This window comes from Homo sapiens, chromosome 1 (genome assembly GCF_000001405.40).
Source record: "Homo sapiens chromosome 1, GRCh38.p14 Primary Assembly".
Lineage (NCBI taxonomy): Eukaryota > Metazoa > Chordata > Mammalia > Primates > Hominidae > Homo > Homo sapiens.
In genome coordinates, this window is record NC_000001.11 from 107,672,194 (window position 1) to 107,689,237 (window position 17,044).

Consider the following 17,044-nt stretch of genomic DNA (forward strand, 5'->3'; position numbering starts at 1 on the left):
GGGAGGCAGAGGTTGCAGGGAGCCAAGATCTTGCCACTGCACTCCAGCCTGGGCAACAGAGCAAGACTCTGTCTCAAAAAAAAAAAAAAAAAAAAAAAGATAAATTTAAATTCTGTAAAATCTTGTAATGTAAATCCTGAAAAACATTTTAATGTACATTTGGAATTAGTCACAGAATTAAAATCTATTCCTTAAATAAAAATAAGTTAAATAAGTTATTACTTAAAAATAAGTTAAATGGCCAAATGCTACAAAAATTAAACAATAAAATTATAAGTAGGTGTTTAATAAGTCAGAGGAGGGAAAATTTTCTAAGCATAAAAGCAGTAAAACAGATCATAAATAAAATGTCTGTAACTTTGACTCCTGGTAAATTTAAAACTTTATATAGAAACAAATACACCAGAAAAAAAATATAAAAATATTTTCGATAAATGTAAGATTGATCTCTCTCACACACACACATATATTCTTACAAGTAATTTAGAAAAGCACCAAATCTTGAATAGAAAGAGGGAGTAAGCATAATAGATAATTCTCAGAAAAAAATACACATAGCCAAAAACATTAAAATAATCTATCTCACTAAAAATCAAGGAAGTTCATATTATGGTATCAACTACTATGATATGATAGTAAGATACTATTATTTTCCTATCTAATGACTTATAGTGAAAAGAACAATACAAGGTTGGTGGGCATAAAATAAGACATATTCTCATACCCCAATAATATGTGGGGACATAATTCAATGTAACATTTCTAAAAGGTAAATTTGGCAACATCTACATCCAAAATCTAGGAGTTCATATGCTTTGACCCAGATATTGTACCTCTATGACGCCATTGTTAAATAATAATCAGCCATATGGAAAAGTATGTTCATGCACAGATGTTCCTCAAAGCATTTATAAAAATAAAAATTAGAAAGACTAATGTTCAACAATAAATTATACTAAAACCCACTTCCTTTTTTCTGAAGAGTATTTAATGACTCAAGATTCAAGTGCGGCTAGGGTGATCTTTTCAACCAGTCCTAGCTGCCCATGTCACTCCTCTGGATAAAACCTTTCCAAAGGCTCAATCTGTTCATCAGAATAAAGTCCAATTCCTTGATGTGCATCAACCAAGATCCTGCCTTGGTTTTCCTTCCATTCTCTTTGTGAATGGCTCTCCTGCTCCAACCCTAACCATCCTGTGCCTTCTCCAACTCAGGGCCTTTCTTGGAGCTGTTCCCTCTGCCTGCAACCCTCTTCTCTCCATTTAGATGCTGTTGATCCCTGCTCATATCCTGGATTCCAGGTTAGACATCATTTCCTGATGCTCACATATCTAAAGTCTATGCCTCTTTTAAGTATACCCTCTGTATCTCCCTGATCTCAAATCTTCACCATTACCTTTGCTCCAGGACATAGGGAGTTGTGTGAGGGAAAACACATCTTGTTCATTCTTGTACACTTAACACCAAGTCAGTATACTTGTCAAAGAGTTGAAAGAACAAATGAATCAACAAATTCGCTCAATGAAACAAAATTAAGTGATAAAAGGAGAATACCAAACTGGAAACATAGGCATTTAATAAACATGTGGCTGCACATAAAAAATAAACATATGAGGAAAAAAGTGTGTAACAAAAGTATACAGGGTGATTAGCTGAGTGAGAGGATTATAGGTAATTTGTCCAGAGAACTTTTTCTACACTTCCTTATATTTTCCGAATATTTTAAGATAAACTTTACAAAATGCAAAACTCTAGCAAAAGAAGCTCAAGTGTCATTTTTTAAAAAGTGTATGCTGCCTCATTTTTAAATAATACTTGGACAACAAATATCTATTGTATTTCTGTCACTACTGCAGTTATCCAAAAGCCAACACTGCAAAATAATCTGAAGGTAGTTTTTCAGAACTGCATGATATTTAAAAACTATATATTGATTCAAATAGTTAACTCCTTAAAATAGCTTTTAAAAAATTCAACTGCATTCAAGTTTAATATTTAGACTGGCAGAAATTATTCTTTCCATTTCCAAACTGTTAAGCAGAGTGAGTTCTGCTGGGTGTCATACACATGGCGTGTTTCAGTGCCAGTGTCTACAGTTGTTTGTTTCAGAACCTCTAATTAGCTGCCTTATCTTCTGGTAGGGATTCTTCTGGTGCTAAGTTTTAATCACCCAAATTAATTGAAATACTGTAGCAATTTCAGATTAACATTTTCAAAATTAACAATGCATAAAATAAAATCACCCATAAATCTGCTTGGTAACAGCAGCCACTAATGAACTCTGAAAATCAGACCAGATCCCACTGCTAATTTGCACAGAACTATACAGCTAGACCACAGGAAATAAGCTTTTCTCTGTCCAAAGCTTGACATAAGTAAAATATACAGAAGATGTCGAAGGATAAGGTCTCTAAAGCCAAATATGCTGCAATTAAGTTTGGCACCCACCAAGTGCTGTGTGACCTTGGTTGAAGTACTTAACCTCTCAGAACTTTGGTTCCCTCTGCTGAAAAACCCCAATGATCCTTGCCTCCTGGTACTGACATACTTAATCCCCTTCCCTGAATGTGGGTAGCCAAAAGAATATGGCAAAGGTGATGGGATGTCACTTCTGTGATTATATTATACATTTTAATGTCCACCTTGCAAGGAAACCCTATCACCTTCTTGGTTTGCATATTCTGATGAAGCAAGCATCCATGGTGAGTAGGTCCATGTAGTAAAGAACTGAAGACAGCTTCTGGCCAAGTGTTCCAGGTCATAAGGCCCTCAGTTCACAGTCCAAAAGGAATGGAATCCCGCGAAAAGCAGTGTAAGTGAGTTTGAAAGTGAACCCATCACCAGTTGAGCCTTCGGATGAGATCCAGCCCTGGCCGATATCTTAAGTGAAGTATTGTAAGAAACCCTGAAGCACAGAACCCAACTAAGCCATGCCTAGATTTCTGATTCACAGAAACTGAGATAACACATGTGTGTCGTTTTAAGCTGCTAAATTCATGGTAAATTGTTACATAGCAATAGAAAATACAGGTATCTATATGTATCAATAACCACCACTATCATCATAATCTTCAGAGCACTTAGTATGTGCTAAACTTGGTTGATACTTCATTATCTCATTTAATCTTCATAATAATACTAGGAGATGGCTGCTACTATTACTTCCATTTTAGAGATGATAAGCAGGTTTATTTGCCTAAGACTATATAGCTAGTTAGTAGAGAGGCAGGACACAAATCCAGATCTGTGCCACTGTAGAACCCTCAGTCTATACCACCACACAGGGCTACCGTTGGAGATTAAAAGTGCTATTATGCATGAATATGTTTAATACAGATAAAATTTAAAAAGATCTCTCCTTCTCTTTCTTTCCTCATTACTCCTTTATTGCCGTGAAGCAGGTAGTGGCTTAAATTTAATGCCTTAAGAGCTGTATCATCTGGCTCTCCCACATTCTTACCCTGACCTTTCCTTTAAGGATGGCACCTTTCTTCAATTCTGTCCCCACAAAACATGCTGTGTTAGGTTCTGTTTCCTCAGTTCTCTAATCCGATAAACCAATCTATGCTAACATGTCAGTAGATAACAGTAGAAAAAAGGATGATCACTGTCTAAAAACAGTGAGGTACCATGACAGGGCTACAAGAAGATCAAATATGTGGCAAGAAAATTAGTGTTTTCTTTTACCACTGCAAACAAAAAGCTTCCAGTTGGAATAAACCTTTGTTGGGAATCTCCAGTTCCTATTTTAGGTTCACTTCTCCACATCAACCATTTTGGATACCAGAGAACTATCAAACAGAGGATCCTACAAATGGAAAAAGGACAAGGTAGGAGAGGTGGAAAACCTAGGCACAGTATGCCCAAGGATGAAAACTGTCTGAAACTTGTTGCACACAATAATAGATGTACATTTTAATCTGCTAAAACCAAGCCTCTCTTTCCTCTCTCTTATTCATTTGTAAACAGAATTATAGAAAAAAAATTCCATGTGGACAAGCTAGTTCAATCCCACTTCCCACCTGAGAAGTGAGCACAGAAGCCAGGCTGGCCAATCAACAGAGCACTCTGGCTGCAGTGATTGCTTCAGAGAAGAGCACATGGTCTAGGCTAGGCCAATTAAAGCTCTCCTTGGGATTCTGCTGGATTTACTGAGAGAAAGATGTTCTATTTTCTCTGAATTAACCAGCTGTGGGGACAATGTACATGAAGAGCTGCTAACAGACAACTTTGCCTCCACATGAGAAAAACCTCTGTGAGGTGCATGTTGACAAGAAGCCAATAGAGGAGAAAGGAGAACTAAGACACAAAGAGAAACTGAACCCTAATGATATCAGTTGGAGTCCCTGGATCCATCTCTGCCTGAAGCCAAAATGCTTTGGAATTCCAGTTACCTAAGTCAGAAAACTTTTTTTTTTCCTAAGCTAGTTTGAAATGGATTTTTGTCACTTGGTAATCAAAAGCATATTGGTTGGTATATAATTGAACTGACCCAAACCTAGGAACAGACTGATAACTTCATTTAAACATATGTAGTTCTAGTAAATTTACCTTTACTGATGTCTGTTTTAGATATTTTGTTTCCTTGTCCTGTGTCCTTCAGTTTGCAAAAAATTCTCCCTCATCTGCCTTCACAGTCAACCAGATCATTCATAACCTATACGACACACTTTGGTAGTTCATCATGTACTCTACAATATTACTTTGACAAGTTATGTTTGTATGTCTTAACTCTCCAGCAAAATTCCAAGTTCCTCAAAGGCAGAGGAACTTCCACGTTTCTAATACCTATATAGAAGAAAATGAATGAGCCTCAAAGGAAAAACGATCCATAAAAACAATTATAAGAACCAAACATAAGCTTTTATTTTCATTCAAATTAAAAATTTAGAAGTCAACTTGATTTGAATATGCTGAAAGATAACTAATTGCCAATATGAGTCATTTTGACAGAAATTCCACAAATAGCACTCCAGGGTTCTAATTAATTTGATAATAATCTTGCTATTTCTACATAGAACTGTAGTATAAATAAGATCATAAATTATATTAAGAATTACTTTATCAATGTCCTCTCCTGAAATCAATTGGATATCATTTGCATCAAATATTGTTATACAAAGTCAATATGTTTTGACCCAGTTAGTTCCTTTCATTTAAGTTACTTCAGACCTAAGTGCTGAAAGAAAATCATCTGCCTCTCAGAGGTTGCTGGCCCATAAGAAATTACTGACTTTTCTTTATCTACTTAGCATTACAATGGCATATCCTTCTTTTTCTGAAATGGAATGGTATTCAACCAGCATAACCATAGATATGGCAAAGGAAGTCCACTCCATATCTGACGTTCTAAGTAAGGAACAGTTTATTGATGATAAATGTTCGAAGTAGCTCACTAGGTTCATTACTTCTTTTTCAGGATTTTCTTCTAAATATTTAATAGATATATACTTTATCTTCTAAAACATAACTACTACAATAATAGAAATTGTTAGAAGTGCATAAATGGCCCAGAGTAGGTTCTAAATATAATTCAAACATTCTGTTATTTCAGTAGTCATATTACTGATGTATATTTTCCATCTAAAAGCACCCCCATGCACATCTCCAGATATTCACCTCACCTTTGTTCTGATTCTGAAGGTGCCTGACCAGTATAAAAGACAGGCTTGGCAAGGCATGCACAGACCTGCCAGACAACAGAAGTAGTGATCCTTTGTGAACTCGGAATGAGCCTTGAAGGGGAGAAATAAATCCTCCTCCAACCAAGAAAGATGCGAGCAAGAGGCTGTGGTGCTCATTTCAGAAATCTGTTATCACGGAAAAGGGAATCAGAAAGGTAGTCCTGAAAATGACTACAAGAAGATCAACTGTCCTAGTGCAAAACTAGTCTTATTGTCCATGGTTTCATAGAAGCTTGAAAAAAAGTCGGCTATTTTAAAAACCAGAGCATGCTCCTCAGCATTTGTTCACAGCTTGGATTTCTCATTTCTCTGCAATGAATCTTAATCACTGGGTTTACTGTCCCAGTTTTTTCAAGTTCATTTCTTTCAATGTGAAATATATTTTTACACATTTACAATTATGCTCCCAATATTTAGATTAAGATTTATATTTGATGAGAAATTAGCTTTAGAGGTGATAGAAAAGACAGAAGCAGGTTTGACTGATTAATATGGAAATATTCTAATCTATAGAAACTTTACTATTTATTATAGACAAAAGCTCATTTACTAAAACCTTCAGGAATATGCATTTGTCTCCCTCATAAAAAAGAAAAGAGATAAAATGTATTTTTAGATAAGTGCATTTGAAAACACTCTGTTGTTATTTTTCTCAATGTTTTCTATTTGGAAACAAAAATATAAAATTTCTCTATTGAACATATTGACATTACATTTAAAAGCAAATCTAAAAGAAATCAACAATTCTGTTTAGACTTGGAATAAATTTCACAATCCTTTGAAATTAAAACACTAAGAACAATAGTATTAAATTGTAATTCAATACAATAAACCAGTATAAAAATTTTTATTTATATAAATGAAAACATTTATATGTAACCCAGCTTAAAAGCAATTTGAGACATTTGTGTTTCCCAATTTGTTTTGCTTTCTTGTATGTATTGTGTAATCCTAGATCTTTTTATATGTTTATTAAACAATTCACTAATTGTTTTTAAGACACTGCTATACGTAATAAATCTGCACAAAAATAGTATATAATATTTAAAAATTTTATATGTACATTTATATACATGCATTTATGCAATCAGAACTTTGTGTCTATATCTATTCCTTTCCTAGGAAGAATATAAATTCTTTGCGGAAAGGGGCCATGTTTTATAATTAATGACAATCCTGTGCTTAATGTCAGATAAGAAATGAAATTGGTAATGAAAGAAAGATTTCTTAGATTCCTTTCTTCATACAATAACAAATGAGAATGGCGTTATATGTCAATCCTATCCACCTGAAAGAGGAAGTGACCATCTTTGAAGATGTCTCTGCTACAAAACAGTAAGACATCTCCTTGGTGAATAAGAAAAGACAGTTTTTCTAAGCCACATGCAACTCTTTGTAATCAAGAGTCTAACAATGAGCATCTGAGAAACAAGAGTTGTCAGAAAGGACTCTTATCAATTTAATCATTACCTATTCATTTATTATTCAAGGTTATCACAAAGCACAAGAATAACTTAAGATCAGAAAGAGTGTAAGCTATTTAAACATTTCCCATCTACTCCACATAATCTTTAGGCAGCACAACACAGAATGGTCGCCTGAAGTGTTTAAAAGCTAGTGACTGTAGGCTTAAATGCAGGATGCTATGAGTTCCACAAATATAAGACAATTTTGCAATAATCTAAAAACATGGACCCAGTGAAAAGAATACATGCCCTGGTATACAGATTTGCCACATGCAAACTGAAATAAATCTTGTATCTCCTACACTGAGACAGAAGGAAATTTTTAAAGCTCAGTATTAAAATTTAATTGGTAACTTTGACCTTGAGTGCCACTTTAGGTGAAAAATATTACATCAGTGCTCAGATTTTCTTGAGATTTATGATCTCATGTTCTTGAAAAAGGCCTAGCACCTCCGTGTTCCTGAAATAATTGATATGTCTGTTACAAGTGTTATTTTCCTGATACCAACATCTGTCTTAGGAAGAAAAGTACAAACTGATGAAAATTCCCTGCTATATTTAAGAAATTCAAAAGAGCTACCAGAATTTGCATCTAATACATTACTATATTTATAAAAGCAGCCAAGATTATAAGTTGATACTTTTATTAGCACACAATAGAAGACAAGAAAAAATAAAGAGCAAAGCCATTTGCAAATATTGTCTATAAAGATTAATCACAATTATTAATAGGGAGTGAATGATTTAAATGTGCTAACAAGCTACAACACAAACCTACAGTTCACTCTTTCTTGGATTTGAATAAACCCCACAATATATGTTTTCAATATTGGGAGTTTTTCTTTGCTTCTTTATTGCAATAACAAACACTAATAATTTCACCAAAAAAAAAACCTCTCAACTATCACAGTTGACTATGTTTATTGGTAAAGATAAGCAAAAGATCATGAAAGCCATTAGATTAAGGGGGAATAACAACAAATCTGAAAATGACTGTGATTATGTAGCTTCTTATTTCAACAGAAATTCAACATAAAATTCAGGGTCTATTTAATATTATTCTCCTTCACATGACAAAAAGTCCAATATTAAAGAACATGCTCTAATATAAATTAGTTGATATAGTAATTGCTATACTTAGCATTTACTATATACTGGGCACCTTTGAGAGTACTTTACTTGGGCACCTTTGAGAGTACTTTACTTGCTCTTTTGTTTCTTGAGATAAGGTCTTGCTCTGTCACCCAGGCTGGAATGTAGTGGTGCCATCACAGCTCACCACAGTCCCAAGCTCCTGGCTTCAAGTGATCCTCCCACTTGGCCTCCCAAAGTTCTAGGATTACAGGAATGAGCCAACGCGCCTGGCCTACATATATTAGCTCACGTAATGCTCACAACAACAACGTAAGGTAGGTCCTCTTATTCATTTCCTTTTACAAATGAGGAAACTATGGCACAGAGAGAGGAGGCAAACTGCCGAAGTTCAAACAGCAAGTAAACAGCTAAGGCCAGTCCCAAGCCCAGGCAACATGGCTCAGAGCCATGCTTCCCACCACTAGACTATGCTGTGTTTCATTAGCATATCAGCAGGAGGAATTTAAAAAGAAAGAATGTCAATGCATACATAAAAACTGTATCATCACTTATTAATTCATGTAGCATTTATTAAGCACCTACTACCCACTGGACTATGCATTAAGTTCCTTTCCAGTGCAAAAGGGCTATAGAGAATATATATAATATACCTTTGAACATGGCTCTGAAATTTGGACCTGGTGAAGTAGTTACACCCGGCCTCCTAAACTCTTTAATCAGTTGCTTTTATAAGCCACTTTAAGTGAGGCCCTGCAAAGTCATGTGTTGACACTTGGAGATGTTAAGTAAATTAACTGTAGGATAAAAAAAAATCAAAGGAACTTCCATGGTAGAAATACTAACAGCAAATAATGCATTGTGGAAGCAGTTTGTCTACGCAGACTCAACTTTACTGATCCCTTGTTTAAACATTTTGTCTGAAAATCTCTAAACAATAGCCACATGAGGATCAAGGCACGCTGGTCATCAAGCAAGGGTTAACTTTGAACAAAGAAGCTTTGCAACTAACCAGCAGAAAGAGGCAGAAATCCAAAAGTCAAGCAACTTTAAATACATAAGTCAAGCCTAAATCAAAAGACAGCTGTGGGAAGAAATAGGCTTACTATATCAGCAGCTTCAACAGGCAAGATCATCAAGTGTTTGGGTTTTTTATTTCCAAAAATATGGAAAAAGGAAAAATACACTCATATACATTTATTATACGTAATGGAAAACTTTTTTTTTTTTTTTTTTGAGACAGAGTCTCGCTTTGTCACCAGGCTGGAGTGCAGTGGCGCGATCTCGGCTCACTGCAAGTTCTGCCTCCCGGGCTCACGCCATTCTCCTGCCTCAGCCTCCCAAGTAGCTGGGACTACAGGCACCCGCCACCACCCCCAGCTATTTTTTTTTTGCTTGTATTTTTAGTAGAGATGGGGTTTCACCGTGTTAGCCAGGATGGTCTCCATCTCCTGACCTCGTGATCCGCCGGCCTTGACCTCCCAAAGTGCTGGGATTACAGGCGTGAGCCACTGCACCCAGCCACGTATGTTCTTACAAACATAAATACAACAGCACTTCTCTTGTAAGTTTATTCTTCATGAAGTTCTAAAGTCTTTGGACAAATAGAAAAACAAAACAAAAAAACTGTACCTATACAAAGCCATCACCTTTAGGATAAAGGAGTATAAATCTGTTTTATTGTTGTTCTACTTTGCCATATTTCTAATCTGGGAATTTACTAATCTAAATAATGTAAGGGATTCTAGAAAATTTTGGCTATAAATGGTTGAGTCAAATATGTTCCTATTGACATACTACAAATACAAAAATGCATTTCCCTGAGGGGAGAAGAAAGAAAAAATACATTAAAAAAATAACACTTATAAAGGTTAAGTAATTTTTCTGAAACAGCAATACTATAACTCACACAAAATAAGACAAAAATATTATGTTCACAGTCATATACCCCTACTGAAAATAATAGAGAAAGTCACTTCTAAATATTATTGCAGGGAGTCCTCTGCAAAGGATATTGTCTTGGGAAAGTCAGAACTATTAAAAAGTAAACCAGAACCCCTGTTTTTTTAATGGCTTCAAATTTGTTCTGTAGTTAAAAGATTTAAACTAGTCTCAGGACACAAGTGAGGCAATTTCTAGCCAGAGGCAACAAAGCTCCTATAAATCTTAAACAGCTCATAAACTGGCAATGCTACCATGGGTGTGGTTTCAGTTATAAACTATAATGCTTTGAAAACTAAACTTTACAACTAGGTGAATACCACTTATGATAGGAAAACAAAATGAAACACATAGTCCAGATTATTTTCCAGCAAAGCTACTCTATTTCTCATGTTCCCCTTGGTTTATCATCAAGTTCGTGTATTTGGAATCCTTTAACTGTGAATACCTTTTACTCACAACAAAAGGATCACATACATAAAAAATCTTTGGTAATTAAACTGTGGAAAGAAGGCATTGCATAATGGATGAAAAATAATTATACTAACATAATGACAGGGCAAATCTCACAATGCTAAATAGAAAACAACTGAACGTTTTCTGCAGACAAATAATTGGTCTCCGGAGAGGAAACTTGTCACAAAGTCCCCAAAAAACATGCTGCTATTATAAAATAGCATGGATATAGAATTAAGAAATTTTCTCTGATGGAGGGTGGGTACCAGTTGTCTGGTTTATGCTCTCCCCTACTTACTTAGAAAACAGTGATTTTTAAGTGGCAGCTAGCTGGCTGGTTTTCTTACTAGATTTACAAAGGAACACAGGGAGGGTGCTGGATATGTGAGCATTAACCAGGCACCCTGAGGCTGTTCAGTAAGCAAATAACCAGCTCAACTGCTGACTGTGGAAAGAGTGCAATGCTGGTAGTTGCTGGTAGTTACTCATGTGAATGATTTACACGTTAGACCATGACCTCCTGGTCACACATTATACACCAAATTATGAGGAACAAAGGCCAACAATATGCCTCACTTTCCACAGCAATTCCCATATCCTTTCATAAGCACTTAGCTGAAGCCATAATTATGGAAGGTTTAATCAGAAACACACCTGGATCCACCTGTTTAGGAGTTCTTCGCAGTCCATTGGTCCGTTTCTGTGCAGTAAAGTAAAACAAAGCAAAACAAATATGTGTTGGTAATTTTGCACTATTAAATTGTATTACTACTGGCACTTTGGAAAGCAAATGAATGTTGCACATTTTCCAAGTCAAAGTATGACTAAATTTGATCAGAATATGGTTTTAAAGTTTGTTTTATTTGTTTTTCTAGTAAGTCTTCCACGTGTATATCATTACACTTGATAAGTTGTTGGTACCTTATAACAGTAAGAAAAAAAATCTTTTTGGTTGCCAACTCCAAATATTGGGACTCAATTTGTTAAGTCATAGTGACGATGGAGAGAACAAAGCCCAGCAGCCATCTTGGTTAGAATATGTTCCCAGCCAAGACATATGAGCAACAACAGCCTTAAACTGATCTCATAAAACTCTAACTCAGCTATTTATGGGACCTCACAGACCAGACTGAAGAAGGTATACAACCTCAAAACAAAGATCTGAAGCTCTGATTTTAGCCAACACTTAAATGAGAATAGTGTTTTAATTATAGACCAGTTGTATCTGAACACTTTAAAAAACAAAACAGACATGCAGCTTGTGAATCATAAAAATGAATTCTTATTATAGAAAATGAATCTGTAAGAAAACAACTTTGCATTACAAAAATTACAGATGAAACACAAAACAAGAGATTTTAAATCTATGAAAATGCATGGCTACATATTTTATTTCTAAAGCATTAAACTCATTCCCACCTAACTACAGTAATCTCACTAATTAAGAAGGGCTTGATTTCACTTCTTTATTATGCAACTGGATGAAATGCTGAGTCTATGACTATCATACAATCTAGATTTTCACAAAAGCAATTTTCTTTTTATGTGTTGGGGTTTGTATCTGTGTGTGAAGACTTGGTTTCATTCAGAGCACACTTGGCTGTGCTAAGCACACATTAGCCATGGATTTCTCTCAGGGTTCTTTCTGTTGTTTTCATTCACAAGTTAAATGGATGAAATGAGGTTTTTTTCCAGCCTTCCTAAGGGCCTCAAAGTCATATCCAGCAGACTTGCAGGGTTCTCAGGTGAAAGCAAATTGGAGAAATTTTTAAAATGTAATTTTGGTTTTTACTCCAACTACTTTCAACATGGATTTGTAAAAGACTGCTAGGATCATTAAAATCAGCATTGAAGCTATGTTGAGCAAGATGGATAGCTGCACTAGAAAAGCTGTAACAAGAGTCATTGTGAATGAAAGGAAAATTTTGCTCTAGATTTGTTGGTAGCCAAGGCACAAAAATTGGAAGCATAATGAGTTACAGACTCATGTCTGATAATATGAAAGAACACTAATTTAAAGAAAAAATCTTTTCTGTCTGAAATTTTATAATTTAGAGGAACTCTATATAAACAACATCGAACAACACAATTGACAGTATTTTCAACAGGAAATTATTTAATGATGGGCAACTTGCTATTTACTTGCTACATATCCCATCATCTTCTTAATGCACAATAGAAGCTGTCTTTCTACTGATTTTATACCTGCTACTATCAAAGTACTAGGAAGGCAAAAAAAAATGAATTTAACTCTTTGGTTTGATTCCTAGAATGCCTAAATTAGTCCCATGTAGGAACTATAAACTTAAAATGTGAAAAGGGGACCCTGACTTCAAGAGCAACTCTGTGTTCTTACACCTTGAATTTAGAATTAAAATAGGCTACACATTGCAAGTATTAAGAGAATGGATTCTAGAATAATACTCCCTAAGTTCAAATTCAGTTTGAACACAAACAGTTAAATTTATATCTCTGTGCCTGTTTGTTCCTCTATAAAATGGAGATAATACTAGCACTGACTTCATAGGTTTTGCAGTGAGAATTAAATGAGTTAATTTACCTTAAATGCTTGGAACAGTTACAGCCACATGGTAAGGATTATTAAGTGATAGATTATTAGCTTTTTGTTATTTTAAATGTTTAAATTCACACAAAGTAATTCTTCTACTCTTTTGGTGCCTTACTACTTATACTTTAGGTTCTTCCTCCTGAAAATCCACTGAAAGTCAGTCACTCTGAAAACAGAAACCTTTCTACAGGAAGGGTGTGCAGTGGAATAAACTATGAACTGGTGTATTTAAAAAATAACATCGGAGGAATTTTCACGCCCCTAAACCAACTGCATTTGGAGAGGCTAAGATTTTTTTATACTTTAAAAGAACCTAAAAAGTATTTTATATTGAAAAACCTGGAGATGTTCAGCAGATCATATTTTGAACAATTTTAAAGTGCAAATTTCATTTGTCATTCTGTCATCTCTATGCGTATACTCCCCTCCCCAATCTATATTCTCAAAAGTCTAGGACGGAGCTGGACAGGCCCTTGTCCCCAGCAGGAAGAGAACGGAAAGGAGGAGAGGACACATCTAGTAGCCACCCCTGGAGCTCTCAGTTACAGCTTCACACCACCATGAGAATCAGTCTCCAGGACCTTCTCAGTCTCCTTTGATCTACCTAACAATGGTGGGCTGGTTGGGGGGGTGGGGGGGGAGGGGGGGCAGGAACCAAACTCAATTCTATAAGCACTTGGCAGTTATTTCTTGCCTCATTACCATTGCCTTATCTTTCTTTCCCTCTAAAAAAAAAGGGATTTAAAGTAGCTAAATATGTATGCAATGATAAACTTGCTTCTTGGAGCCAGAGGAACTTTCCGAAGGTCCACTCCAGAATGGGATGTGAGATGTACAGCCCAGGTATGGTTATGGACGCCCCACGGATTCTGTGGCTAGTGAAAACTGACCTACCTCGCAAATAAAGTGCAAAATTTAAAAAAAATTCACAATCATAACTATTGAAAGGGAAGCAGAGGAGGCCTATAAACTGGTACATGGAGAGAAAGAAGGTCTTCAAGAGAGGAGAAAAAATAAAAATCACAGAGCTTACAAATTACAAAAGTGTTTCACTATTTACTTATGAGAAGATTCCTGAGCAGCATACAATCATCTGCCTTGGAGAGTGAACACACCTGGTATAGGGTGAGAGCTGCTTCTTAATATTAGTTTGCTGTATTTCTCCCTTAAAACAAACTCAAGTTTCCAAATGGATTGACTAGCCTCAGAGCTTACTATAATCCTCCATCCACACAAAACAGAGATTTTTAGTACAGTCACACAGTAAATAAAAATTATACTTATATTGAAGAGTGAAACAAGTCACTAAAAAACTGATGTTATATATTTTTAAAAATCAATGTGAAAATTAATTCCTTGTATCATAGGCTTACATGTAATTTAAAAAGTATAAAAGTGCCTGTGAGAATTATTTAGTATCACATGAAAATTATTACCCACTTCTTATTGGCATATTTTCTTTCTGTAAGCACACCCACTTCACATTACTTAATTAAAATGAAACCATCTTCCTTGGAAAAAATAATATATATATCTAAAAGGATAAGTGTTAAGTAACACTGAGGTAAAGTTCAGAACTCTACAAGGTTTCTTTCTCAATAATATAATAATAGCAATGAGAAAGTGAAAGAAGGCTGCTTTGCAAGATCCTTGGCACTGCTGGAAGAATCCTGATAGCCCTAGTGAAAAATCTTACCTGTCAATGAAACACTAAAGGAACTCTTTGGTTAATTTATTTTAGCTCTAAAGAAACTCATATGGCCTATTAAAAAAATCACCTTGTTATGCATTCTTTGGTCTAGACTTTAGGTTTTAAAATATAATCAACAGATGCACTGATTAGGTGCATATGAGCCTCTTTATATCACACTCTTGATATCCTATATGTTCAAATTATGTACTTATGCAAAAAGTAGAGACAAGCACCTCTTATATTTTGCTGTACTTTTTCTTATTTTTACTAGATGTTGGATTAAAAACATACTAATATCACTTTTAAAGAGAGGTTTTAATTGTTAGATATTAATTTACAAATCATAATTTTCATCGTTACTTTGAAATTTTCAGATTACTGTACTTTTGGTTCATATAACTAATCACACATAGTTTGTATTTTATTTTTCTATGATTTCTAAAAATGTTTTGCTATGGCCATTTGTGGGGAGGGGCAGTCAGGTAAGAAATCTGTTATTTTTGGTTGAAGGTCAAGGCAATGATTGTCTGGGAACCATTAAAATCTTTTCTGTCTGAAATTTTATAATTTTGGGGAACTCTATATAAACAACATCAAACAACACCATTGACAGTATTTTCAACAGGAAAGTATTTAATGATGGGCAACTTGCTGTTTACTTCCTACATATCCCATCATCTTCTGTATTTTTTTAAATAACTTTTTTTTGGATTTTTAAAGTAACTTTATTCTGAGAGGTAACATGGATTACATACTTCTAAGCCATTAGGAGACTCTATGTTAAACCAAAAGGAAATGTTACTAGATCTTCATTTGATCAATAGGATGTGATAATCATCATCTTTCTGCTCTAATGGAAAAGTACTAGAAACATGGAACCATAATCTTAGATGAACAACGTTAGAATTTGCACTAATTCTACGGAATTTCAGTAATTCGGCAAATGTCGGGCAGTGACACAACATTTCATGACGGGGACGCATCTACCAACTTCTGGCGATAAGGGCCACCCTTCCCTCTGTACTTACAGTCCCATTTCATACACAGTCTTTGATTAAATATTCACATTTTTTCTCTACCTAAGACCTTCGGACAGTGACAGTGAACATTCCTTGGATTTAACTTTTGCATTTTGTTCACAATCACTTGGTTGTTCCCTCTGTTTCTGTTTATTTCTATTTATTTTAAAAGGCACATTTAACAGTGTAAAAGCCCAAGCCTGGTTAAGTTAGCAAACAACTTGAAATGCAAAGGTTATAAAAAATATTTAAAATGTTAATCTTACCTCTGGTAGTTTGAGTGTCCCTTGTTCTGAAAGAAATGTAAAAATTGGCATTGTCAGTGTAAAGTTATTTTGTTTGGTTAGCAACCTTAGCTTTCTCTGCAGAGTGGTAAAACACCACTGCTTTGTTTTCTTAACTGATACCTGTAATATATTTCCACGGTCCCTCAGGCTGGGCTAGTAATTATTTTGCAACCTTGGTTCTCTTACCCTATTGGCTTGTCAGGAAAGTGACTCACAGTTTTAAATGACTTCTAGGTTATGCTTAACTTTTTCCATTGTTTATTAAGCAATGTCAGTCCTACCACATAAAGCTCCTTAAAACAGGGGCTTACACTAAATTTATAGGCATAAGAGAAAGCTAAATGCAACCTTTCTTTCAACATGCCTCGTTTTAAGAATCTAAAAACACTAAGCTAACAAAGGTACTGCATTGACGATTTGTAACAATAGCAAATTATACATAGTACAACATTTCGTGTGAATTGTTTTTTGTTAAGTGGCTATAACTTTTATTTTTAATTTTGGCAGAAATACAGTTTGAGTTAAAGATGGAACTTAAAAAAAAACTGAGTCAGGATTGATTTTAATGCTAATTTTCTTTTCATATTTAGTTTACCTCCAGAAATAGGAAGAACAATTCCTTCATTACATTTCAGGCCCTGCAAATGCCTAATGGTTATAAGGGCCCTGAGATCTTCAAATGCGTACTATAGTAGAAGAGCAAAGGATCGTTCTGGGGATAAGGGCGCACACGGCACTTGGAAAACTGGTGGGCAGCATCTTTGCCTCCTTTCCCCATACCCAGGAGCACTTATACATGTTCTAACTTCTCCAGACAGACAGGAAATCCCTCATCA

The 17,044-nt window shown here is 35.1% G+C and overlaps 1 protein-coding gene across 14 annotated transcripts in view; it reads right to left on the reverse strand.

Annotated features, from left to right (window-relative positions):
• The window catches only part of VAV3 (vav guanine nucleotide exchange factor 3), a 394,020-nt gene that overhangs the window by 101,033 nt on the left and 275,943 nt on the right, over nucleotides 1–17,044 (reverse strand). For 11 of the 14 annotated variants that reach the window (XR_007063680.1, NM_006113.5, XM_024450319.2 and 8 more), the window contains 2 exons: nucleotides 16,188–16,213; nucleotides 11,295–11,340 (listed from right to left, as the gene is read on the reverse strand). The exons of 1 other annotated variant lie outside the window; for it this stretch is intronic. Coding sequence is in view for 12 of the 13 variants with exons in the window: in NM_006113.5 (NP_006104.4) it covers nucleotides 11,295–11,340; nucleotides 16,188–16,213 (72 nt within the window). In the remaining variant the exon portion in view is untranslated. Of the gene's footprint in view, nucleotides 1–11,294; nucleotides 11,341–16,187; nucleotides 16,307–17,044 lie in introns of those variants that run through there. 2 more of the 14 variants (NM_001079874.2, XM_047430543.1) reach the window with 2 other exon arrangements.